General features: G+C 35.3%; 1 long non-coding RNA gene across 1 annotated transcript in view; it reads left to right on the forward strand.

The window, feature by feature from the left end:
* Nucleotides 1-275: 275 nt before the first annotated feature.
* LOC107985978 (uncharacterized) overlaps nucleotides 276-27,347 on the forward strand; it is a 77,592-nt gene continuing 50,520 nt past the window's right edge. Inside the window, exons 1-2 of the long non-coding RNA XR_001739867.1 lie at nucleotides 276-315; nucleotides 12,194-12,351. This is a non-coding gene — a long non-coding RNA (uncharacterized LOC107985978). The remainder of the gene's footprint in view (nucleotides 316-12,193; nucleotides 12,352-27,347) is intronic.

Here is a 27,347-nt window from a genome sequence, read left to right on the forward strand (position 1 = left end):
TTCTAGAATGTCTATTGTTTCAGGTCTTAGATTTAAGTCCTTGATCAATCATGAGTTGATTTTTGTATGAGGTGAGAGGTGAGAATCTGGTTTCATTCTTCTACATGTGGCTTGCCAGTTATCTCAGCACTATTTGTTGAACAGGGTGTCCTTTCCTCATTTTGTTTTTGTTTGCTTTGTCAAAGATCAGTTGGCTGTAAGTATTTGGCTTTATTTCTGGGTTCTCTATTCTGTTCCATTGGTATATGTGCCTAGTTTTATACCAGTACCATGCCGTTTTGGTGACTATGGCCTTATAGTACGGTTTCAAGTCAGGTAATGTGGTGCCTCTAGATTTGTTCTTTTCGCTTTGTCTTACTTTGGCTATTCAGGCCCTTTTTTGGTTCCATATGACTTTTAGGATTGTTTTTTCTAGTTCTGTGAAGAATGATGGTGGTATTTTGATGGATATTGCATGGAATTTGTAGATTGCTTTTGGCAGTATCGTCATTGTCACAATACTGATTCTACCCCTCCATGAGCATGGAATGTATTTCCATTTGTTTGTGTCATCTATAGTTTATTTCAGCCATGTTTTGTAGTTTTCCTTGTAGCAGTCTTTCACCTCTTTTGTTAAGTATATTCCTAAGTATTTTACTTTTTTGCAGCTATTATAAGGGGTTGGGTTCTTGATTTGATTCTCATCTTTGTTGCTGTTTGGTGTATAACAGAGCTACTGATTTCTGTACATTAATTTTGTATCCTGAAATTTTGCTGAATTATCAGCTCTTGGAGCTTTTCGGATGAGTGTTTTCTAGGTTTTCTAGGTATATAATTGTATCAACAGCAAACAGTGACAGTTTGACGTTCTTGTTACTGAATTGGATGCCCTTTATTTCTTTCTCTTGTCTGATGGCTCTGCCTAGGACTTTTAGTACTATGTTGAATAGAAGTGGTGAGAATGGGCATCCTTGTCTTGTTCAAGTTCTCAGGGTGAATGCTTTCAACTTTTCCCCATTCAATATTATGTTGGCTGTGGTTTTGTCATAGATGGCTTTTATTAAATTAAGGTATGTCCCTTAATGCCAAGTTGACTAAGGGTTTTAATCATAAAGGGATGCTGGATTTTGTCAAATGCTTTTCCTGCATCTATTGAGATGATCACATGATTTTTGTTCTGTTTTGTTTTGTTTTGTTTGAGATGGAGTCTTGCTCTGTCACCAGGCTGGAGTGCAGTGGTGTCATCTCGGCTAACTGCAACCTCCACCTCCCGGGTTCAAGCGATTCTCCTGCCTCAGCCTCCCGAGTAACTGGGACTACAGGTGTGTGCCACCATGCCCAGTTAAATTTTGTATTTTTAGTTGAGATGAGGTTTCGCCATGTTGGCCAGGATGGTCTCATTCTCTTGACCTTGTGATCTGCCCACCTCAGCCTCCCAAAGTGTTGGGATTACAGGCATAAGCCACCACGCCTGGCCGTGATTTTTGTTTTTAATTCTGTTTGACTTGCAGATGTTAAACCATCCCTGAATCCCTGGTATGAAACTGACTTAATCATAATGGAATATCTTTTTGATATACTGTTGGATTTAGTTAGCTAGTATTTTGTTGAGAATTTTTGCATCTATATTTATCAGGGATATTGGTGTATGGTGGTTTTTTTGTTTGTTTTTTTTGTTGTTGTTGTTGTTGTTTTTTTGTTTGTTGTTGTTGTTGCTGTGTCCTTTCCTGGTTTGTGTATTAGGGTAATACTGGCTTCATAGACTAATTTAGAGGGGATTTCTTCTTTCTTTATCTTTTGGAATAGTGTCAATAGGATTGGTACCAATTCTTCTTTGAATGTCTGATAGAATTTAGCTGTGAATCCATTTGGTCCTGGACTTTTTTTTGTTGGCATTTTTTAAATTGCCATTTCAGTCTCACTGCTTGTTATTGGAAGATTGTATATTTTCAGGAATTTATCCATCTCCTCTAGGTTTTCTAGTTTATGTGTGTAAAGGTGTTCATAGTAGCATTGAATGATCTTTTGTATTTCTATGGTATCAGTTGTAATATCTCCCATTTTGTTTCTAATTGAGATTATTTGGACCTTCTCTCTTCTCTTGGTTAATCTTGCTAATGGTCTATCAATTTTATCTATCTTTTCAAAAAGTCACCTTTCTATTTTATTTATATTCTGTATTTTTTGTTTGTTTCAATTTCACTTAGTTCTATTCTGATCTTTGTTATTTCTTTTCTTCTGCTGGGTTTGGGTTTGATTTGTTTCTCTAGTTCCCTGAGGTGTGACCTTACATTGTCTATTTGTGCTCTTTCAAACTTTTTGATGTAGTCATTCAAGGCTGTGAACTTTCCTCTTAGCACTGCATTTGATGTATCCCAGAGGTTTTGATAGGTTGTGTCAGTATTATCATTCAGTTCAAAGTTTTTTTAAATTTCCGTCTTGATTTCATTGTTGACCCAGTGATAATTCAGGAGCAGGTTATTTAATTTTCATGGTTTTGAGGGTTTCTTTTGGAGTTTCTTTCCAATTTTATTCCACTGATAATACTTGATATAATTTCAGTTTTTAAAACTGTATTGAGACTTGTTGTGTGGCCTATCATATGGTCTACCTGGGAGAATGTTCCATGTGCTGATGAACAAAATGTATATTCTGCAGTTGTTGGGTAGAATGTTCTGTAAATATCTGTTAAGTCCATTTGTTCTAGGGTATAGTTTGTTTATTTGTTGACTTTCTGTCTTGATTAGCTATCTAGTGCTGTCAGTAGAGTATTGTAGTCCTTCACTATTATTGTGTTACTGTCCATCTCATTTCTTAGTTGTAGTAGTAATTGTTTATAAATTTGGGAGCTTCATTGTTAGGTGCATATATATTTAGGATTGTAATATTTTCCTGTTGGACAATTTTTATCACAATATAATGTTCATCCTTGTCTTTAAGTGCTGTTGCTTTAAGGTTTGTTTTGTCTGATATAAGAATAGCCAATGCTGCTCAGTTTTGGTGTCCATTTTCATGAAATGTATTTTTCCACCCCTTTACCTTAAGTTTTTGTGATTCCTTATATGTTAGGTGAGTCTCTTGAAGACAGCAGATACTTGGTTAATGAATTCTTATCCATTCTACTATTCTGTATCTTTTAAGTGGAGTACTTAGGCCATTTACATTCAATGTTATTATTGGGATATGATGTACTATTTTATTCTTCGTGCTATTTGTTGTCTGAATACCTTATTTTAAAGCATTATTTATTATGTTTTTGTTTTATAGGTCTTGTGAATTTATGCTCTAAGGAGGTTCTGTTTTGGTGTGTTTTGAGGATTTGTTTCAAGATTTAGAGCCTCTTTTAGCAGTTCTTGTAGTGCTAGCTTGTTAGTGGCAAATTATCTCACCATTTGTTTATCTGTAAAAGACTGTATCTTTCTTTTATTTATGAAGCTTAGTTTTGCTGGAAACAAAATTCTTGGCTGATAATTGTTTTCTTTAAAGAGGCTGAAGATAAGGCCCCAATCCCATCTAGCTTGCAGTGTTTCCGCTGAGAAATCTCCTGTTTAATTTGATGGGTTTTCCTTTATAGGTTACCTGGTGCTGTTGCCTCACAGTTCTTAAGATTATTTCCTTCATCTTGACTTTAGATAACCTGATGACTATGTACCTAGGCAACGATCTTTTTATAATGAACTTCCCCGGTGTTCTTTGAGCTTCTTATATTTGGATGTCTAGATCGCTAGCAAGGCCAGGGAAGTTTTCGTCAATTATTCCCTCAAGTATGTCTTCCAAACTTTAGATTTATTTTCTTCCTCAGGTACACCAATTATTCTTAGGTATGGTTGTTTAACATAATCCCAAACTTCTTGGAGCCTTTGTTAATTTTTTTTTAATTCTTTTTATTTTTCTTTTTGGATTGGGTTAATTTGAAAGCTTTGTCTTCAAACTCTGCAATTATTTCTTCTACTTATTTGATTCTATTGCTGAGACTTTCAAGTGCATTTTACATTTCTCTAAGTAAGTTCTTCCTTTCCAGAAGTTGTGGTTGTCTTTTATTTATGCTATTTCATTGAAGATTTTTCTTTCATATTTCGTATCATTTTTATTTTTTATTTCATTAAGTTGGACTTTACCTTTCTCTGGTGCCTCCTTGATTAACTTGATAATTAAACTTTTGAATTCTTTTTCCAGCAATTCAGGATTTCTTCTTTGTATCCATTGCTGGTGAGCTAGTGTGATCATTTGGTGGTGTTAAAGAATCTTGTTTTGTCATATTGCTAGAATTGTTTTTCTGGATCCTTCTCATTTGGGTAGTCTTTGTCAGAGGGAAGATCTGGGGCTCAAGAGCTGCTATTAGAAACTTCTGCCCCATGGGGTGTTCCTTTGATGTAGTGCTCTCTCCCTTTTCCTAGTTATATGACTTCTTGAGAGCTGAGCTGCAGTAATTGTTATTTCTCATATGGATCTAGCCACCCAGAGGAGCTACTGTGCTCCAGGCTGGTACTGGAAGGTATCTGCACAGAGTCCTGTGACATGAAAGGTCTTCAGGTCTCTCAGCTGTGGATACTAGCACCTCCTCTGGTGGAAGTGGCAGGGGAGTGAAATGGACTCTGTGAATATATCGGGGGAACCTGCCCCCAATAATTCAATGTTATTTCATGTAGGTTCTTTTCTATTTCCCTAAGTGTTGGCCAGTCTGAGAAATAAAGGGAAAGAGTACAAAAGAGAGAAATTTTAAAGCTGGGTATCCAGGGAAGGCATCACATGTCAGCAGGTTCTGTGATGCCCCCCAAGCCGCAAAACCAGCAAGTTTTTATTAGTGATTTTCAAAGTGGAGGGAGTGTACAAATAGGGTGTGGGTCACAGAGATCATATGCTTCACAAGGTAATGAAATATTACAAGGCAAATGGAGGTAGGGTGAGATCACGGGACTGGGGTGAAATTAAAATTGCTAATGAAGTTTCGGGCACACATTGTCATTGATAACATCTTATCAGGAGACAGGGTTTGAGAGCGGACAACCAGTCTGACTAAAATTTACTAGGAGGGAATTTCCTCGTCCTAATAGGCCTGGGAGCACTACGGGAGACCGGGGCTTATTTCATCCCTTATCTACAACTGTAAAAGACAGACATTCCTAGAGCAGCCATTTTAGAGACCTCTCCCTAGGAACGCATTGTCTTACTCAGGGCTGTTCCTTGCTGAGAAAAAGAATTCAGCGATATTTCTCCTATTTGCTTTTGAAAGAAGAGAAATATGGCTTTGTTCCGCTCGAATCTCAGGCACCCAGACCTAATGGTTATCTCCCTTGTTCCCTGAACATTGCTGTTATCCTGTTCTTTTTTCAAGCTGCCCAGATTTCATATTGTTTAAACACACATGCTTTACAAACAATTTGTGCAGTTAACGCAATCATCACAGGGTCCTGAGGCAACATACATCCTCAACTTACGAAGATGACGGGATTAAGAGATTAAAGACAGGCATAGGAAATCACAAGAGTATTGACTGGGGAAGTGATAAATGTCCATGAAATCTTCACAATTTATATTCAGAGATTGTAGTAAAGACAGGCATAACAAATTATAAAAGTATTTATTTGGGGAACTAATAAATGTCCATGAAATCTTCACAATTTTATGTTCTTCTGCCATGGCTTCAGCCAGTCCCTCTGTTCGGGTCCCTGACTTCCTGCAACATGAGTATCCTTAGTTGTAATTTTGTTTATTGGTTTAGTTTTGTGCTGGTTGGCCTCCTGCCAGGAGGTGGCACTTTCAAAAGAGCATCATCTGTGGCAGTATCAGTGGGCAGGGCCCTAGAGCTCCCAAGAGAATTTGTCCTTTGTCTTTAGCTACCAGGGTGGATAGAGAAAGACCATCAGGTGAGGGCAGGGTTGGGTGTGTGTTAGCTCAGACTCTCCTTGAGTGGGGCTTGCTGTGGCTGCTATGGGGGTTAGGGGTGTGGTTCTCAGGCCAATGAAGTTATATTCCTGGGGGATTATGGGCTACAGCATCCTATGCTATGTCATGCAGGTCACCAGCGAAGTGGGGGAAAGCTGGCAGGTACAGGCCTCACCAAGCTCCCATGCAGCCCAAAAGTCTGGTCTCACTCCCACTTGTGCCCACCCTCCCCAACAGCACTAAGTTTGTTTCCAGGCAGCAGATAAGCAGGGCTGTGAACTTGCCCCAGGCTACCAGCTTCCCAGCTGTGAAAGCAAGCAGGACTTTCAGGTTTTGTGCCTCCCTACCTGCTGTGGGGCTTCTGTGCTGTGTCTGCACTCTGGATTCACCTCCCTTCCCTGAGTTTTGTCCAGGAAACTTCGTGTTAGGTGGAAATTGTTACAAAGTTCAGCTGGAAGTTTCCTTCTCCCTGTGGTCTTTTCCAAGTTCCTCTGGCAGCTCTCCTCAAGGACCCCTGTGAGACAAAGTCAGAAATGCCTTCCCTGGGGACTGAGAGAGCCTACAGGACTCTTCCCACTGCTTCTTCTACCCCTGTATTTTTCTTGGCTATCTAAATTTGTCTCAGCTCCAGTTAAGGTCAAATCCTTCTCCTGTGATCTGGACCTTCAGGTCCCCCCAGTGAAGGTGTGTGTTTGGGGATGGAGAATCCCTGTTTCACACTTTCACACTTTTGGCACTCACAGTTTTGGGGCTGTCTCCTGGGGCCCGCAGGAGCAATCTGCTTCCTTCAAAGGGTCTGTGGATTCTCTTGACTTTCCTGGTGTGTTCCTGCAGTAGTTCTTGGAGCAAAGTCTCATAATGTGAGTCTCCACACACTGCTCTGTCCAACTGAGTGGGAGCTGTAATTTAGTCCTTCCTCCTATCTGCCATTTTTCTCTATCCACCTGCCCATTCCTATCTCTAATTACAACACTTATCATAGTTCTGGTCTGTCCAAATGTTTTCAATTACTTGATTTAAAAAAGTATAGATTTCTACTTGTAGTAGTCAAAGTTCTCTACCTATCTCTATCCAACTTATCTTTCCAGATTTATTATTAAACATATAACTTATGTGCTTCTGAAACAGGATTGCCTCTTTCCTAAATATTTTCAAGACTTTTAAAAAATCTATATTCTACATAATTACTCATTTATTTTTCCTGCTTTTGCATTTTATTATATTGAAAATAATTTCTGGTCGGGTATGGTGAGTGGCTCATGCCTGTAATCCCAACACTTAGGAAGGCTGACGGAGGATTGCTTGAGCCCAGGAGTTTGAGACCAGCCTCAGCAACAACCTTGTCTCTACAAATTTTTTTTTAAATTATCTAGGCATGATGCCATGCGCCTGGGTTCCCAGCTACTCAGGAAGCTGACGCAGGAGGATTTCTTGACCCCAGGAGGTCAAGGTTGCAGTGAACCATGTTGGTGCCACTGTACTCCAGCATGGGCAACAGAAAAGAAAAATAGAAAACACCTTCTTTCTATACTCCATATTTGAATGACTTAATTTGTTCTAACCTGATTACATATATGTTTTTTATTATCTATAATTATATATTATCTATATAATGTGTATATTATCTATAGTTAGTCTGGATACTTCCTGAGGTACTTGATGCTTATATGAGGCAGAATAGATGTCTATTAACCTGATTGGCTCCCTACTAAATTGTAACTTGTTCAAGGTGTCTTTTACTTGGTAATATTTCCCACAGATAAATATTTGTGTAATTGAATTGAGCTACATGAAATGGTCTAATTTTGACTACTTTGTCTCATTGTTAGAATGTGTCTTAAGGTCACAACAGTAGATTATTTAATGTAAAGAATATTTACTTTAAAGAGTATTTTTATAATAGTTTTAGGTTCAAAGCAAAATTGAGAGAAAGGTACAATGATTTCCCATATACCCACTACTCCAACACATGCATAACCTTCCCCATTAACAACATCCCCCACCAAAGGGGTACATTTGTTACAACTGATGAATCTGTGTTATCACATCCTAACTGCCCAAAGTCCATAGTTTATGTTAGAGTTCACTCTTGGTGTTGTACATTGTATGGGTTTAGGCAAATGTATAGTGGCATGTAAACACCTTTACAGCACCATAGGGAATATTTTCACTGCCCTAAAAATCCTTTGTGCTCTTCCTATTCCTCCATCTCCCAATCCCCTACTCCTGTCAATCACTTGTTCTTTTATTGTCTCCACAGTTTTGCCCTTTCCAGAATGTCATATAGTTAAACAATATGTAGCCTTTTCGGATTGACTTCTTTCACTTAGTAATATGTATTTAAGATTCCTCCTTGTCTTTTCATGGCTTGATAGTTCATTTCTTTTTTATCATTGAATAGTATTTTATTGTCTGGATATTTCACAGTTTACCCATTCGGCTACTGAAGAACATCTTGATTGCTTCCAAGTTTTGGTAATTATGAATAAAGCCACTGTAAACATACATGTGCAGATTTTTTGTGAAAATAAGTTTTTAAAAATGTCTGGAAATCAGAAACAATCTTCAACAACTCATCACTGGAAATCACCTTAATATATATTTGGTGACTCATGCCTGTAATCCCAGCACTTTGGGAGGCTGAGCCGGGTGCATCACAAGGTCAGGAGTTTGAGACCAGCCTGACCAACATGGCGAAACCCCATCTCGACTAAAAATACAGAAGTTAGCCAGGCGTGGTGGCACGTGCCTGTAATCCCAGCTACTCAGGAGGCTGAGACAGGAAAATGGCTTGAACCTGGGAGGCAGAGGTTGCAGTGAGCCAAGATAGCGCCACTGTACTACTCCAGCCTGGGCGACAGAGTGAGACTCCATTTCAAAAAAAGAAGAAGAATGTATAAAAATATATTGGGCAGAAATCTGGTAGAGGCCATTTTAACCAAGTGATGAGAGTTATTAATATTCAGACAAATTCATAGAATCTGCCTCCTGATACAATGAACCAAAAGGGACACAACATCACTTCTATGACATGCCTGCCAATCAGTGAGATAATTACACTGTACCCCTAAAAAATATCAAGGTCCAGAAAGACAAAGACTGGGGAAATGTTCCATATTAAAGAACTAATGAAACATGACAAATAAATGCAAAAAAATCTGAAGTGGATCCTTGACCAGCAAACAGAATAGTAGAGGACATTATTGGAATAATTTAAAAACAAATATGGAGTATGGATTAGATATTATATTGTAAATATTCTGATTTTGATCATTTTGCTATGGTTAACTAAGAAAATATCTAGTTTTGAAAAATATATATGGAAGTTCTTAGGAATTAAGAGCTACAGTATTTCCAACTTTTCTGAATGGATTTAAAAAAAGCTATGTCCATGTGTGTGTGTATACTTTCATCCATCTAGCTATCTAGAGAGGGAAGGTGTATATGTTTATGCATCTGTTGGAGAGAGAGAACACAAATAGGAGAACATCTAAACAATTAGTGAATGTGGGGGAAGTGTATATGGAAGTTCCTTATATTCTTGAAATTTTGCTATGAATTTGAAATTACATTAAAATAAAAATTTATGAAAAATGATTTGTGGTATACAGAGTGATGTGATTAAATTATATCCCATCTAACCAAAGCTCCCTTGATCCCTAAAGACTTTTGCATATTCCATATTAAGACTAGATGGAATTTATTGTTATTTTTCTCTTTTGGGAATTTACATTGACTTGACTTCCTGAGTAGAGAACTGGCAAAATTGTGCTTGTCATCTATTAAATGGGATTGTATAGAAAATTGCTAAGAGTGAAATAATAACCAGTTTTAGAGGCATGACTTATCTGATATTTTCTCAATTTTAATCTTAAAATTCAATTCAAAACATTCTCCTGTGCAAAGTTATTAAAAATTAAGCTTAATTGAAAAAGAAAAACTCAAGTTATACTCATTTTCATGTAAATAATTTGTTCAGATTTTACATTTATTTCCTAAAAGGCATTACCTTGGTTAGTTTCTCATTTCCTCTACCGTTCTTTTATTTCTTCCAACATCAAAAACCAATCTGAATGCATGGTGCTTATCAGTAAGCAGTTGAAGAAGTGATTTGCTCTTTTTGAGGAGTAACATAACAGAATTTATTATTTTTTCTCAAATTGTTGTTAGTTCACATTTTATCTCATATTACTGTTACTCAAATGTATGCTTTATCTTTACTTATTCATATTTTCATTTTCTAATGCCTTGCACATATACAGGTCTTAATGTTTCCCAAACTGAAGCATGCATGAATAAATAAATGAATAAAAAATTTGTATTTTTTTCTAGGTCAGCTTAAATCATCACAATTGAAAGTTAAATTCAAAACAAAGTGTAATTATATTTGAATTTGTTAAAATGATTATTTCTGAATATCCTACAGTGCCTTAAAATGGATTTAAAAGTGACTATGAGAATTAGCTATATGGACATGGCATATAGGAAGGAAATGTAAAATGCTATATAGTGACTCTCAGCACAGACAGAGTTAAATGCAGTTTCATAGTGTTGGGCCAAACAAGTAAAATAGAAAGGTGGAAATTGGTTATGAAATCTAGGACACCCATGTAGCTTGGGATTTATGATAACTTACGGAAATTAGTTAAGAGAAAAAATAAAATGTTTGAAACTAGAGGAGCCTGAAGGTACTCTTGGTGTATACTGTGGCAGTTGAACCATGGCTCTACCTTTAATGGTAGGTGCTTGGATGAAAAAAATATTTTTTTCCGTTTTTAAAAAATACGCTTTTTATCTATCAATTTTATATATCATTATTTGATAATTTTGTGATATTATACTATTTCCAACAGTTATTTATTTGAAAATACCCTGTTAAATATTACAATGTGTGTTAACTGTACACTCTTTTAAAACTGATTTAACTCAAATTAAATATGCAATGATGACCTCACTCCTAGGAATGATATGACCCTGGGTGGCATTCGGTTTGTCAGGTATTTCTAATCAAAAAATGGTTTTGCTTTTTGAAATATTGCTCTTCAGGACACAAAGATAGTGGAGAGAGCTCTGGGTGACTGAGGACTGAGCTCATTGCCACCTTCACCATTTCATGGAAACCTGCTTTCCCTTCCTCTGCCCCCTAATCACTGGCACCACCATCCACCAAAGGCAGGACTCCTAAGTCAGCTTGCATTTATTTCTCCTTTGTACTCACATCTATCACCCTATTGATCCCTACACACTGCTTTATTATATGTTCTCTACATATCTGGGAGTGCTGCTCTCCTTGTCTTAACCTCGACTGCTGATTTTTATTGTGGCTTCCTCATATTTCAACTAAATTATAGCAATAGCTCCCTAAGAGGTCCCTGCTTCAAGTTCTAATGAGTCCATCCTCTATGATACTGTGGGAGAAAGAGAGATTTTTCTAAACTGCAGTCTGCACCTGTCACTCAATTCTTAAATTCCTTTAGTTGGTTCTACATCATTTTGACAATTAAAGCCAGACAACTGATATGACATACAAAACCTTAGTCATTTTGGTATGACTTTACTTAAAACTATATTTTATTTTATTTTTTTCTGTTCCAGCATTACTTCTCATTCTTCATTCTATCTTTCTCAGATAGGCATCCTTCATAATTGCAATAATATTGATGTTGCTGTCAATCACAATGTTCTTTTTTTTCTTAGCCAAGCCATGAACACATGACGTAAGACAGATCAACCAGAGACTTCCCTAGAATCTGAATTTTAGGTGGCTATGTTAAACAATTAGCATGTCTGTGCATTAATCATGTCTCTTTGCATTGAGCATGCTTTTATTCTTAATGAAATCTCTCATCTCCACGCTTCAATGCAAATATTACCTTTTTGGAAGCTTTTTAAACTCCACCATTCTGAGATAGAGACGTTTCATTTTTACTTTTATGCACTTAAATCTCTGCAATTATATTTTTGCCTATATGCACATATTCTCCTGTAAAAATGTTAGCTGCTTGAAAGCAGGTGGTAATAGAAATACAAAGGAATTGAAGAAAGAACATGAACTCAGTGGCAAATTAGATAAATTAGAAGAAAACAAAGAAAAGGATGTAGAAAAATACAGTGTGCTAAAGGATTCTAGTAAATGCAGCAAACCATAGCCATTGTCTTCCACAATAGGGAGGTACTTTTGGAGAAAGCATGTCTGGTAGTCATTAATATTGTTTATCAACTATCTCTAGGTTGTTCCCCGCCAGGCATGTGAAAGGACTGTATTTCCTAGGCATCAAGTAATTTTGGCCAAACTGTTTTGAACAGAACTTTTTTATGATGCTTCTAGGCCGGAGCATGTAATTGCTGGAGTGGGATCCTTCATGGATTTCTCTTATCCTGGCATTGACAATGATAGAAGAGGAGGCCCCTCCTTCTACCTGGGTAACTGTGATTAACAGACACAGAATGGACGTGTGCTGAGAAAGAAATCGTTGCTATGTTAAGGTGAGATTTTGGAGTTCTTTGTTAGCACAGCATACTCTACCCTATCCTGGTTTTGCCTGACTAAAACCAAGTGAATAGAAACAGGATAGCCAATTTGAACATACCTTTACTCTTAGTGAAATAATCTCTCATCTCTGCACTTCAAAACAAATATTACCTTTTTGGAACCTTTCTAAACTCTTCCATTCTGAGATAGAGACATTCCATTTGTACTTTCATACACTTAAATCTCTGTATTACATCTTTGATTATATGCCTGTATTCTCCTGTTTGCAATTATATTATTCAAACCACTAGCACTAAAGCGCTTGATCAGAAATACAAAAGAACTAAGAAGAATAAATAAAATCACCAACTTTAAGCTAGAAATCTTTATTAGTAGTAAAAATCAATAAATCTGATATTAATTGTATCTGTGTTTGATATATTCCAAGCATCATTAGTTATTCTATGCCCCATTGAGATGCTGCTTCTTTAGCCTCTGGCTGCAGAAAACTCCACAGACATTCACAGCCCTTAGGCTGTCCTGTCTATTGTAAAGAGGAGTCATTTCATGCACAGATTGTGTGTACAAAGGGAATCATACGTTGTTTTGGGGGACAAGGCAAAAGGAGGATGACAGCAAAAGAACACGAGAAAAAGAAAATGTGTGATTTTGTTCACATTCTTCCCAACCATATGCATATATATATAGATAGATATATACCCACCAAAATGTTGGGGATAAATCAGGGAAATTAATCTACAATGTGGCATTTCGCTCATCAACAAAACAGTAAGAAAGGTGTTTTTTGACAGGAGTTTGTAAAATACAGTTCTGATCCATCCTCTAATGATATCACATGAGAAGCTTCACAAAGCTCTCATAAGAGGCCTTCCTTGTTAAAGGGGGTTGGCAAAGTGCTACTAATTATATGTGTGGTACACAAAGCAGTGTAGACATTGAATTAATGCTTGAACAAACGCAATGTCTGAAAAATTAATGTCTCAAAGCAGAATTGTCCAGCATTAAGTAGTTCAGAATACAACAGATAAATGTAGATAAATGCAGCAATTATGTAATGTACTGATTTTCTCAAATTCTTTGTATTTCTAGATAAGCACAACAAAGCCACCTGATTACAGTGAACAGATTACTAGGAAGTCGAAGACTGTTTCTGCATCTGGGGGCTGTAATTAGATCTCCTGGTTTATTTCCAACCAGGCAATTTTATGCTAGTGGTTTGAATAATGCAGTTGCAAAATTAAAGTATCACTAAAAGAAAATGAAATATTTTAATATTGATATACATTCATTTTAATAAACACTGTGACAGAAACATTATACATCATCAATATTGCTGATTGATTTAGAACCTTAATCCCATCCTAGTCAGCTGGTAATATCTACCACCAGAGGGCAGAGAGTGAATGCTAATGATGTAATGTGTGTTATCCCATCCAGGGTAATCCTATTCTAGTGGCATTCTCTAAGTAAATCTCAGAGTATTATCATTAAGAGGGTTCTCTTGTCACAGACACAACCACCACAATCTCATTTTCTCTCCTAAACTATTCGGCTCAGATCGCTTAATTTTTCCACCCATATCCTTTCAAGATAACAGAAATACTTCTGCATTAATCCTTGTCCTTAGTCTTTCAGTCAAGAACAGTGAAGATAAAAAATATGCACAAATAAAATACTATTTGTTGGTTCTGTATATAGGAAGAATGAAAGGGAATATTTTTGTAATTGCAGTATGCTCTATTGAATTTGGAGTATAGATTAATAGATTTTTCAGTAAATTTATTGTTATAACCAGTAAGCATTTTCATTCTATTTGGAGAAAAACTAATTTCACCCAAAATTTTTGAATCCAGGTTCCAATCAGTTCTAAACACGTTTGATGGCATGAAATTTCAATTTATTATATGACAAAACAAAAATATGTATATGCATCTTGTAAATGAGTTACATATATAAAAACTCCATCAATGACTCTTCCATTTTAAAATAGGAATTATGTGTCTTAGTGCTAAAAACTTAAATGAGTTTTCTCAAACTATTTTATTTATTATTGACTATGACCATCATATAGAATACCAGTGTAAATTGGATACTTCATAAATAGTGATTTACAGTTCATCGTATGCTGGAACTCAAGAACATTTTTCATAAGTTGGCTTTATTGTTTTCTGGACAAGGATTGTTCTTGCTTAGCATGACCTTGGTTCAGGTGATGAATTCTATTATAGAGCCAAAGAAGTTTATGTTTTTTTATCTCCTTTTCATCATTGTTTGGCTCTACGAAGATTAGATAATGCATGCTCTCTGGAAGATGTTGAATGCACATGAAATCATTATGTGAACACACTGCCAGTCTTAAAGCTGAAAATTATTTTGAATAGTGGATTTCAGAGCTGATCAACTTGGCTTGGTCTCCTTTTTCAACCTTAAAAGTTAGCATTTAGTGAATGAATATCACTAACTAATGTAAAGGTAAATGCCAACCAGATTGTGTTGTCTCTCAAGGATGGCCCATCTCATATATCCTCACATATAGAATACAAGTGCAGTGTTAGGGAAGAATTCAATTTTTCTGTGCTGCTATTTTACAGAATTTATTTTATTAGAGATCCAGTCCACTATTCTTCCTGCCAATTTTCCTATAAAGTCTGATGAGATCACCTAACTAAAAATTATTAGAAGCACTAAATTTGCTTTGAAAATAATAGTCACACAGAATTATTACTCTACTTAATCTTTGAATATAATGCTCTTATTCTTTTGTGTTCTAATAAACTTGGAAAATGATTATTCTTACAAGTTAACAAAATACTTAAAAGCTTACTAAGCATCTACAACATTCTAAGAACTATGTCAAGCCCTTCAGTTTTATTTTATTATTTGTCCTATGTTACTGATGGGGAAATTGAGAACTAGAAAAATACCTTTGCCTTCTGCCAGATCTTCTGATTGGAAGTGTTAAGTGCCCATGCCAGTTTCATTTTGTTAGATGAAGCAGATCTCATGGCCCAACCTGTCATCACTAGAATAGGAAGTCTTTCCAGAACCATCTCATCAGGGAGATGCAACAAATGTTTTGATATAAAAACATCTATGACCAATGCAATCATGTATCAGCAAATGCAATTAGAGATGATAGGAAAGGGCACACTATACTGCCTCCTGGTGGTTGTGAAACTTTCAGAGAGAAAGCTATGCATAAATTAAAAAGGACCTTTCAGGAAATGTAAACAGATAAAGACATGATACGAAAATGCCAGCTGTATTTGGGGAAGAATAAGCAGATCAGTTTGAGCGTAGACTTGTCTCTGAGGTAGTGATAGGAAATGTGGCGAAAAGTACATTTTGTGCCATGCTAAGAAGTTTTTACTCCATCCTTTAGGCAGTGTGTGTGTATGTGTGTGTGTCAGCAGGGGAGGTAAAAGAATCAGGAGTCTTAAAACTCCACAGCAATGAGAAGGTTTGAACTGGGTTCAAGATTGGCCAAGTGCAGTGGCAAATGCCTGTGATCCCAGCACTTTGGGAGGCTGAGGCAGTTGGATTATTTGAGATCAGGAGTTTGAGACCGGCCTGGTCAAAATGGTGAAACCCCATCCCCACTAAAAATACAAAATTAGCCAGGTAATTGGTAATTTTGGTAGCGGGCCTGTAATCCCAGCTATTCGGGAGGGTGAGGCAGGAGAATCGCTTGAACCTGGGAGACAAAGGTTGCAGTGAGCCGAGATGGTGCCACTGCACTTCATCCTGGGCAATGGCAAAACTCCATCTCAAAAAAAAAAAAAAAAAATCTGGCAGCAGTGGGTGGGGGTGAGGGAGGGCTTGGGGGTAAGGGTAGAAAGAGAAGGGAGTAGGCAACATCTACGGCAATCAATCCTCTTGGTGTCCATTGCACAGTCCAGGCAATGGCTTTACCAAGATGTGGAGGGTAGAGGGATAGACAATACTCAAGGGAGTTTTAGGCTCAAATAAGTACATGTTAATATGGTAATTCTTCCTTCAAATAGAAATACCTTAAATACAAACTGAAGTTTTGCAAAGCAAAATGAAGATGTTTTTTAAACAGTGTGCTTATTGAAAGTAACAACTTGGGCATAGTATTTTTCTTCTGACATGCATTACAAAAGGGACTCACACAGGTCGATTTTATAGGCAAAAGCTGGACAATGAAATACTGACTTGGCTTATATAAATAGTTTGAACTGAACTTAACCTTATGAGAAGAACAGGGGCAAAGATTATAGGTGATTGTAATTTTTGTAAGTAGTTAAAATGAAAAGATTTTTGAAGGCTTTTTCAAGTAAGGAAATTGTACAAGATAAAACAAGAAACAAAATCCCATTTCCTCAGAAATACGCTAACTATTATGCAATATCTAAAAGAAAAATATAAGCGTTGATGCTTTTCTCTCAAGTTGTCTTGTTTGTGGGTAATATTTTTCTTTTCCTGTGAAAATCTGGAAACCCAAGTTGTTTGTACTACTCACATACAAAAAACCTTCCACTTATATCTTTAAGGAGTAAATGTGTTTTATCCTTTCTTTTCTTGTCCCTGTGGTTTATTTCCAATATTCTTTATTTTTAAGAAATGCTTGAAGTGCTTCGTCTGGTACTTGATTTAGTTTCTGGTGAACTTGCATAGAGTATTATGATCTATTCAAGTGTATATTATCTATTCAATTCACACAATGGAATTGGAATAACTCAGTAGTCACTTGCATGCATATATTTAACTAGAAGTTCCAAATTTCCTATATTTAAATCTTAGGAGAATCATTTCGTATGATTAAAATACATTGTTTAAAAGCACCTTTTAAAATCTCAAAAATGACTCAGTTCCAAATTCTCTAACTTGTACCTTTCTATTTGAAGCTACATTTTTCTATTTAGGATCTCATGCTGTTTCCAAATCAATACAAGTTTCTGGCAAAAATACACTCTGCCATCAAAATAAGAAGTGTATGTTTTACTTTTTCTTTGTAAAATTTGGTATAATATCAGTAGCATGTTATAGAAGTGAGTAAGGTTTACTTGATGTGACTAGTTATTGAATTTGAAATGTTTACATTGGTATAAAATTTGAGTATTTGAAACCTTCGTTAAAAATTAAACAATTTTGACTCAAAGATACATTACTGAAAGCTCAAAATTTTGTTTATACCTTATTTATGTGTATTTTACTTATTGTAATAATAGAATGGTTTAGCTTATTTTTTCTGGAGACTAATACTGGGAGTCTATGGCCAAGTTTCTGATAAGAGAGATGATTTGGAAGATGTATAATCAACAGTGATATGAACGTGTGCTATCTGTTAGGGGTGTCATCTATGTCAGGCACTATAGGAGGCATGTGTGGTTTTCTTTTATTTAATACTCTCAACAGCCTGGCAAAGTAGACATTGTCATCCCCATTTTATTGATGTGTAAACTAAAATTGTAAAGGAGTCACAAATAATTTCAAGTTCACTCAGCTAGTAAATAACAGAACAAGGAATCAAACCCAGATATTACTCTTCAATATGAAAGGTAGTATGAAAAAACTACCTATTCTGTTCTACTATGGGTTGAAAGGAGGCATTAGAGGATCGGGCTAATACATACTGTGGAAATGGGGTGTCCATATAAAGCTGCAGTTTTCTTCAGAGAAGTTGCCCAGTACCCTTTTTCTGGGTGGATACTCTATATAAGGATAGTGAAGCTGGAAACTGAGGAAAGAGGCAACAGCAAAGGGGAATCTCTGATCAAATGCTTCCTTATTGAACATATAGTCCCACTTAGAAGAACTACCGTAGCCCAATCAAGACTTAAACTGCAAGGATTCCCTTACTAATATTTTGGCATATCTAGAAAATGTACCCACAAATGATGGGAACTAACAAGATTACAGTTTAAAACTGAGGAATAAGCCCTAGACTCTGGTAAAATGATGAATTAGATGATTTTTTTTAAAAGAGGCCCTTATAAGAGGCCCATGGTACTGGTACCAAAACAGATATATAGACCAATGGAACAGAACAGAGCCTCAGAAATAACACCACACATCTACAACCATCTGATCTTTGATAAACCTGACAAAAACAAGAAATGGGGAAAGAATTCCCTATTTAATAGGGAAAACCTAGGCAATACCATTCAGGACGTAGGCATGGGCAAAGACTTTATGACTAAAACACCAAAAGCAATGGCAACAAAATCCAATATAGACAAATGGGATCCAATTAAACTAAAGAGTTTCTGCATGGCAAAAGAAACTACCATCAGAATGAACAGGCACCTGCAGAATGGGAGAAAATTTTTGCAATCTACCCATCTGACAAAGGGCTAATATCCAGAATCTACAAAGAACTTAAACAAATTTACAAGAAAAAAAACAACCCCATCAAAAAGTGGGCAAAGGATATGAACAAACACTTCTCAAAAGAAGACATTTATGAAGCCAACAGACACATGAAAAAATGTTAATCATTACTTGTCATCAGAGAAATGCAAATCAAAACCACAATGAGATACCATCTCACACCAGTTAGAATGGCGATCATTAAAAAGTCAGGAAACAACAGATGCTGGAGAGGATGTGAAGAAATAGGTACGCTTTTACACTGTCAGTGGGAGTGTAAATTAGTTCAACCATTGTGGAAGACAGTGTGGCGAATCCTCAAGGATCTAGAACTAGAAATGCCATTTGACCCAGCCATCCCATTATTGGGTATATACCCAAAGGATTATAAATCATGCTACTATAAAGACACATGCACACGTATGTTTATTGTGGCACTATTTACAATAGCAAAGACTTGGAACCAACCCAAATGTCTATCAATGATAGACTAGATTAAGAAAATGTGGCATATGTACACCACGGAATACTATGCAGCCATAAAGAAGGATGAGTTCATGTCCTTTGCTGGGACATGGATGAAGCTGGAAATCATCATTCTTAGCTAAGTATCACAAGGACAGAAAATCAAACACCGCATGTTCTCACTCATAGGTGGGAACTGAATAATGAGAACACTTGGACACAGGCCGGGGAACATCACACACAGGGGCCTGTCGGGGTGGGAGGCGGGGGAAGGAATAGCATTAGGAGAAATACCTAATGTAAATGATGAGTTGATGGGTGCAGCAAACCAACATGGCACATGTATACCTATGTAACAAACCTGCATGTTGTGCACATGTACCGTAGAACTATATATATATATTAAAAAAGAGGCCCTTATGGTAGCTGTCTCAGGAATGCCTATTTTGTATAAAACAACTAACTGTAACTACTTATTACATAAGCATTTGCTTCATTTTTCAATGCCATTCTTGTAAAAGTCAATAGATTTTAATAAGGTATTTGTTAGTGTGAGTGTTTTAAATAAAAGGAAGACATTTAGATAATGTAAAATAATATATTCAAATTTTATTATTATTCAAGCATAGCCTAGAAAAAATTGAAACACAAATGCAGGTGGAACTTTTTCTACTAGATATTGAAATGTATTATAGGTAGGATTTTAAATCTGTAGGAAAAGGTGTAGTGGTCAGTAAATTTTGATGGAACAAATGTCTATGCATTCAAAAAAAATTAGAACACTGTCTTACTCCTTATGCCAAAAACAATTATATATTTATGTCTGTTTGCAAACAAAATTTAATTTACTCAGAAATAATATAGGAGAACATCATTTGTAATTCTCTTCTAAGCTTGACAAGAAGCTATAAAGAAAAAGATGTAAATACAAATTCAAGTAATTAACATTGTAAGAAATAAAGTTAAAAAACATAAACATTTCTCACATTAGTAAATATTAAATAGCTTTCTGTCAGTAAAAAAGCTCTTATCAACTTCATATAAAAGCCGCCAAAGAATTCAATAGGTAATTCACAGATTGAGAAGTAGAAATATCCAAACATAAGAAATGTGTTGCATTTTACAAGTGATTAGACAAATACATTTAAAACAACAAATGGAATGAATTTTTATCTGTCAGAGGCATATGAATGAAAGCAAATTAAAAAAGAGATGCATGCAGTATTAGAAAGCCTGTAGGAGGTAGCTTAATCTCACGTACTGTTGGAACTTGGTACCACCTTCTGAAGGGCAGAACTATTAAAATTTAAAAGTTGCCTGCTGTTTAACCTAGCAGTTCTGCTTCTGGGAATCTCTCTTAGGAATACTATTATAATAGCAGAATACTAGAATACTATGATATTAGTATAAAAATGAGAATAGTCACTGCAGCGTATTTTTTTTTTTTAGCAGAATAACAAAACCTGAAGATAAATTTACATATTCAGGATTAGGGGAATATTTGGGGAAGTTTCCTTCATCCATACTGTTTAATTAAAATTGAATTTAACTATAAGGAAGCACATACACACAAATTAAATAATACAAAAATAGAAGAATATTTCTCTGTCATGTGAATTTGAGTGTCAGTATGCCATCTCTATTTCACGAAGCCCTCAGGGACCCAGATTATCCGTTTCACTGCCTGCCATCTATATGATATGGCTCCTCATTTTCATGGTCCAGCTGGGAAGTAACCACATTCAAGATGTAGAATGGAACAATGTACGAGGCAGAAAAAGGGGCAAGGGGGTCTTAGTATTTTTTAAAAAAAGATCTAGAGCAAGCTTGTCCAGCCCATGGGGGTGGGCTGCATGTGGTCCAGGACAGCTTTGAATGTGGCCCAACACAATTTGTAAACTTTCTTAAAACATGAGATTTTTTTTTTTTTTTTGCTATTTTTTAGCTCATCAGTTATCATTAGTGTTAGATTATTTAATGTGTGGCCCGCCCAAGACAATTCTTCTTCTGATGTGTCCCACAGAAGCCAAAAGATTGTACAACCCTGATCTAAAGGGTTGCAGAAAAAATGTCTGTTTACATGGTATTGGTCAGAACGTAGTCACATGGCCAAGCTTAACAGCAAGGATGTAGTCTTTATTCTAAATGGTCATTTGACCAACTAAAAATTGTATTGCTTTAGACAAAGGGATAACAGATACTGGTAAGAAGCTGATGGTCTCTGCTGAACATACTGTAAATAAAGTAGCCATTAGTGTATTACTTGAAAGAATGATTTTAAAATACAGTTAAGTTAAAGAGCAATTTTTAGAAGCCTATTTATATATCATGACCTCTCTTTGACTCAGTTTGGCATCAATAAAGTAATAACAGTAAATATTTCACATAATTGTCATAAAGATTCAGTTATACATTTTATATTAAGTGCAAAGAATAGTGCTTGGCACATAGCAAATGATTGATATGTGTTCATTATCATGATTGTCTAAAAATACTATCATATAAGTGGATAAGTATATGTGTATGGAATTACATTTCACTCTTTGTTCATTTTTGTATTTAAAACATTTTTCAAGATGTACTACTTTTATTTATTTGTAACCTAGTAAAATATCCAGCTGAATGAGAGACAGAAGGAACATGCTTACATATTTTCTATAGATATATCTTTTTAAGATTTAAAATAACTTCCAAAAAAGAGTAATAATCAAGAGAAATTAGAATATGTTATATAGTGGTTGTAACTTTTGAATTATCACAGGATTAAAAGTTTTAGGCATTTTGGCATGGTGGTATAAGCAGTAGATTGAAGAATGGCAGACTTGACTTATAAATGTTACCTCTTGTTCTAACTAGTTGGAATATTTGAAGACAATTCATCTCTCTAAGTAAAAGGTATTTTTCTATAACAAAAGATGATGTCAAAAATAGTTTAATATTAGAACCTTGCTGAAGTTCTTTCGCTTAGCAGTTTGTCAAGTTTTATGACTTTAAAGAGGTTCCAGAAACACTATGAGCCTCAGCTTCCTCATCTGAAAAGTCATGATTTCTATAGGACAAATGTCTATTGTCTTGTACAAATTAGATATTTAATAAATCATACTTTATTTCTCACTTGTCTCTCTGATCTTCAATTTCTTCATAGTAAAATTAGAACTACAAAATGGGTATCTTATTCTAGATGATATTCTAGGTTCTAACCAGTCAGAATATCTTGTATTTTAAAATAAAGCACAGTTTAGTAAATACACATATTACTAATCAAGAAGCGGTAGAGTAAAATCAATAAGAAAGCTCAAATGAATGGAAATACAAACCTACTGCATTTTGAGGACTTATAGTAATAGCTTGCTTTAGAGGAAAAGATATCTCAATAGCAGGAAAATGTAGTGTTTTTTAAAATCCTCAAGTGGACATTCACAGCCTTCCCCTATGTTCCTTAGATATGACTTTGGATTCTGCTTTTGATGTAATGGCTCTGGGCAAGAAAAATCCATCTCTGATCGTTGGAGCACCTGGTACATCTATCTGCCCCAGAGGAGGGATCAGAGCTAAGCATAACTCACAAAGGGCAACAACTGAATGGTAGAGTTGAGACTGCTCTTGTAAAGCACTGGATCAAGAGAAGAGGACCTAGAATATATGAGAAATCAGTGAGGCTGCTTCTTACTCACTGACAGGCAAAACTGTAGGAGATAATTGGCAGTTCCTGGAAAGATCTATGAAAATACACTTGGAAGTAGTAGGAAGAAAGGCAGGGAAGAAAGCGGACAGGTAGAAGGACAATTTGACAGTCTTTAGCATACAGTGGTGATGGTTTATTAATCTTTGTAAAACTTAATAAATTCCTGGCTCATAGAAACCATTCTTTATCTGATGGTTGAATTTGGAAAATCTTAAAGGAGGGAAATCTGAGGAAGGTACGTAGAGTTAGAGGAAAGCCATGATAATTGCATGTATCGAGCAATAGTTAGAGACCAGGAACTAACTGTGCTGGGTGGTTTGGAATATCAGTTCATTTTTCACCACACACAAACACACATACACACACACACACACACACACACACACACATCCTCTGAGGAAGCAGTATTCTCTTTTTAAAGCTGAAGACATCGAGCCTTGTAGAAGTTATTTACCTATGATTATTCAGAACATCATTTGAAGTGAGCATTCATGTTCAAATTGTATGGCCTTGGGTTTTTTATTGTTGTTATTTTCTTTTGTTTTTACCAAACTATCCCTTTATACCTTGTCAATTCTTCCTCTTCCCCTAAGGTAGTCACTAACTAAATATTTAGGAAAAGTGCTATTTAAAATGCAAGGTGCTAGGGGTTTTCCTAAAAACTAGGAAGAAGCTTGTGATATAAAGCCCAATCTTGAATAATCTTGATAAAATATAATGAAACTTTAAAATATAAATTTATCTTATCCAAATTCTTCTATTATGATTTTATTGACTTGATATATCAACAATTTTAGAATTTATGAAATTCTTGCCCCAACTTTTTATGAAAGCTGCTAATGACAATTAAATTTCAAGCCCTCTTTTTATCACTAATTTATTTATGTTGGAGAGTTTCATCAAGTAATAGTTAAAGAAATCCCAAAATATATTGAAAAGTATGACAATAAATGTACATAAGACAGAAAACTGAAGAAGAGAAGAATATTGAATATTCCAAACAATGGTAAGGTTTGGGTTGTATTTTAATAATATTTCAATTCTTAAGTATAAACAAGTATAATTATGTCTTTCTGTGAAGGATTTTTAGAAAGTTTATTGCAAGAGTTTCTTGTAAACTTCATCCATTGGTCCAAAAATAACATGATATCATTTAATCATTCAATAATTGATGTTTTAATTTATTTACACAAATGGTATTTTACTTTTTTTCTGTTATCTCTTTTCTCTGGCATTTTTCATTATTGTTTTGATCGGATAATTAATGGCATAGGTGTTTATTTAGAAGTGTTTTCCGTTTCAGGGTACTCTGAAAAAAAGCCCACTTTTATTGCAGAAAAGTGCCCTTCAACAATTAACTGTTAAGTGCTAGTGCAAATTAAAGCTCCACACAGGTAGATAAATGAATCTGTCACACATATAATTGCCAGGCAAAGTGGTTACACTTTTAGCCATTTTCATTTGTTTGCTAATGCAGCTTTCCATTCTAAAATGATAAATCATTATTTGTGAAGCAGGCATTTCCTCTCTAGCTAAAGAATATGTTTCCCATTGTTAATATAGACTGTTTTAGGGTTTTAAGGAAAGAAAAGGAGTGAGGGGAGTCAATGGTGTAAAATGTCTTTTTTTCTCCCCTTTATGATGCAGGCTCCTGGTAGATGATTTATAGTTTTTCATGAACCAAAATAAATTTAAGGAAAAGAATGTATATGCTCCAGATGACACATAGACACAGCTGAATACTATAACCACAGAAAAAGTAACTCTTGAGGTCACAGAATTTGAAATCTGTATGAAATGTGCAAAAAATGTTTTAAGAACAGCTCACCTTTACATTGCAGCCCGCTGCTTTTTATACTGTGTCTACAGAGAGCTGCTGATTTTAATGTTTCAAAGATCTTTCTTCTTTTTTTCTTTTTCTTTTCCTTTTCCTTGTTTTTTTTTTTTTTTTTTTTTTGTTCTGGCAACATGATAGTGAGAAAATTGTTTTCATGGACAAACTAATATAGTTTCTGATAAACCCATGATACAACCTGAAAACAAATGATTTAGCAGTCTACATTTCAGTCTGCTGCAATAAATTGAAGAGCCTGAGGCTAGGTAAGCTTTGGTACTTAAATGTCAGCACTTGGTTCAGGAGTTCTATTTACATAATCTGTTTACTAATTGCTGACTCAGTGCATTTTTATAATGTGGAGCTTTGAACAGTCTGATTTTTAAGTCAGCTTTCATTCTAGCTTGTGAGCCTAAAAGAAGGAAAGTGGCAACCACTTAATGAGGAGACAAAATGGTGACGGTCATTGATTTGGTTATGAGTGAAAATAGCTGTATTGAAGGTATCACCACGTCCCCTCAAATCAGTCTCCATCATTTTCTGGACTCGCAACAGAGTTTGGATGTGTGAGACATTCACATAAATCACTCTAATCACACATTATCTGTGAACTTTGGAGTAGTAGTTTGCACCATTTGTAAATTTGCATTGTAGGCAGAAGTTTCGATTGGAGATTTCAGTTTACAGTTGTCCTTTTCAGAAAGGGCAATTCTCAGAAAGTCCATGAGTGACTATAACTGAAGAATAATTCAGGGAAATGAGGTAGAAAAATCCCCAAATTCATCATGGCTAACTGTATTTAAATTAAAAATGTTTTTGATGTTTACTTAAGGAAAAGCACTTGGTAGAGAGAAGTCCTTGACCACTTGGTAAGATAGTCAGGTATTACACAGGCAACATGACAACCATGATGAAAAATGTATAGAAATGCATTTCATGGAAACTAACTCAAGGAATTCTTGTATATGTAAGAGTTGTTCTTTCTCTCCTAAATATATACATATATATATTTATATATATATATATGTATATACACACACACACACATATATATATAAAGTCTTTCATTAAAGAGCTAATTATATCACAATACTTTGGCAAAATATCTGTTTTGCATCTTCAGTCATATTTTATCTCTTCCTGAAAATATCCTCTTAATTTTATCTATGCTCCTCTACTCTTTTAATGGAAAAAGAGAATGGATAAAATATATGTATAGGATTTTTATAAAAATGTGAGAAGTAGAAGAAATTTTTATGATAAAATTTCACATTATGACACTCGATTCTTATGGAATATTATTGAAGGCCATAATTAAGTGACCCAGAATTGATCTCAATTAGATATACATCCATCTGGATAATTTCAGAGGCTTACAGTGCTATAGGAAATGGTCCAATGGTAGACAAACATATAGGCAATAAGCAGAAGCAAGAAGGGGAGATATTTTCTAATGTGGTTGTTAAGCATTAAAGATGCAAGCCAATTCTGTGTGGGTTATTCTACTAACAAAAGGTTAGATCTAGAAGAGAAGAGAAAATATTTGAAAATAAAACCATAAAGTATTTTATAAATGAGCTAATTACATCATAACAAGTTTGGTAAAAAACTTGTGGTTTGCATCTTCACTCATATTTAATGTCCTTCCTGAAAATGTCCTCTTAATTTTTTATCAGTGTTCCTCATTCTTCAATTATCTAGCTCAAAAACTCATTCTTGCCAGAAAGATTTGCACATTTAAAATCATATTAAGAAAATGATTTCTAATGTTCTCAGTATTTAAACAGCCAGTTTGGCCTATATTGTATTAACTAATATAGCTAAGAAAATAGGGCTAGACAAAAATTGGAGAGCCCAAAGAATGAAGGAAGGAATTGATAAGCTTCTTCAACATCAACATTAAAATAAAAATGAATCATCAATTTACTTCTGCAACCATCATGATATGGAACTTGAATGACTCTAAAAAAATGGAATGAGTTGCCTGGTTAAATGATGATGGGAGCATGGGGACACTTTTCTGCTTCAGGGACTTTCTCTTGACAAGTGCCATTATACCACCATCACATTCTTTCTTTCAATATACCATGCTCCCAAAATCATATCACATAGTCTACTTACCCATTTTTTCCTTCCCATTTACACCTTTTCCACTTACGTTCAACACACACACACACACACACACACCCCAGGAGATTTGGACACATTTGAAGTTACATTCACTATAAATGCCAGTTTAAAGTGGAAAAATTCCTTGTTTTAATACCTCCTAAGTAGTCATCTTTATTATATTTTTATATATAACCTATTCAAAATTCTGGACTGCACAAATATTCGGTGTATGTGTAATCTCTGATTACTGCTGGCTCCAATAACTAATTGTTTCAAATAGGTTTCAGCAAAGTAATTTAATTAGAATTTGAATGAACGCTTATTTGAAGCCAACATTCAGGCTTTATTTCTGAAAATAGTGCCGTCCTTAATGATGAAGGGAAATACATAATAATTGAGTATTGTAATGACTCAAAATGAATTTGATATTTTAAGACATTCAAGAGGTAGAGAGTGTTTAGAGATGAAAAAAGAGAGAAGAGAAGGAAAGAACACTGACATTTATAGCAATGTGATGTTAGCCAACGTTTCAGGATGCATGTGGGGAGCTCAGTGTGTTA

This window comes from Homo sapiens, chromosome 2, assembly GCF_000001405.40.
Source record: "Homo sapiens chromosome 2, GRCh38.p14 Primary Assembly".
Classification (NCBI taxonomy): Eukaryota; Metazoa; Chordata; class Mammalia; order Primates; family Hominidae; genus Homo; species Homo sapiens.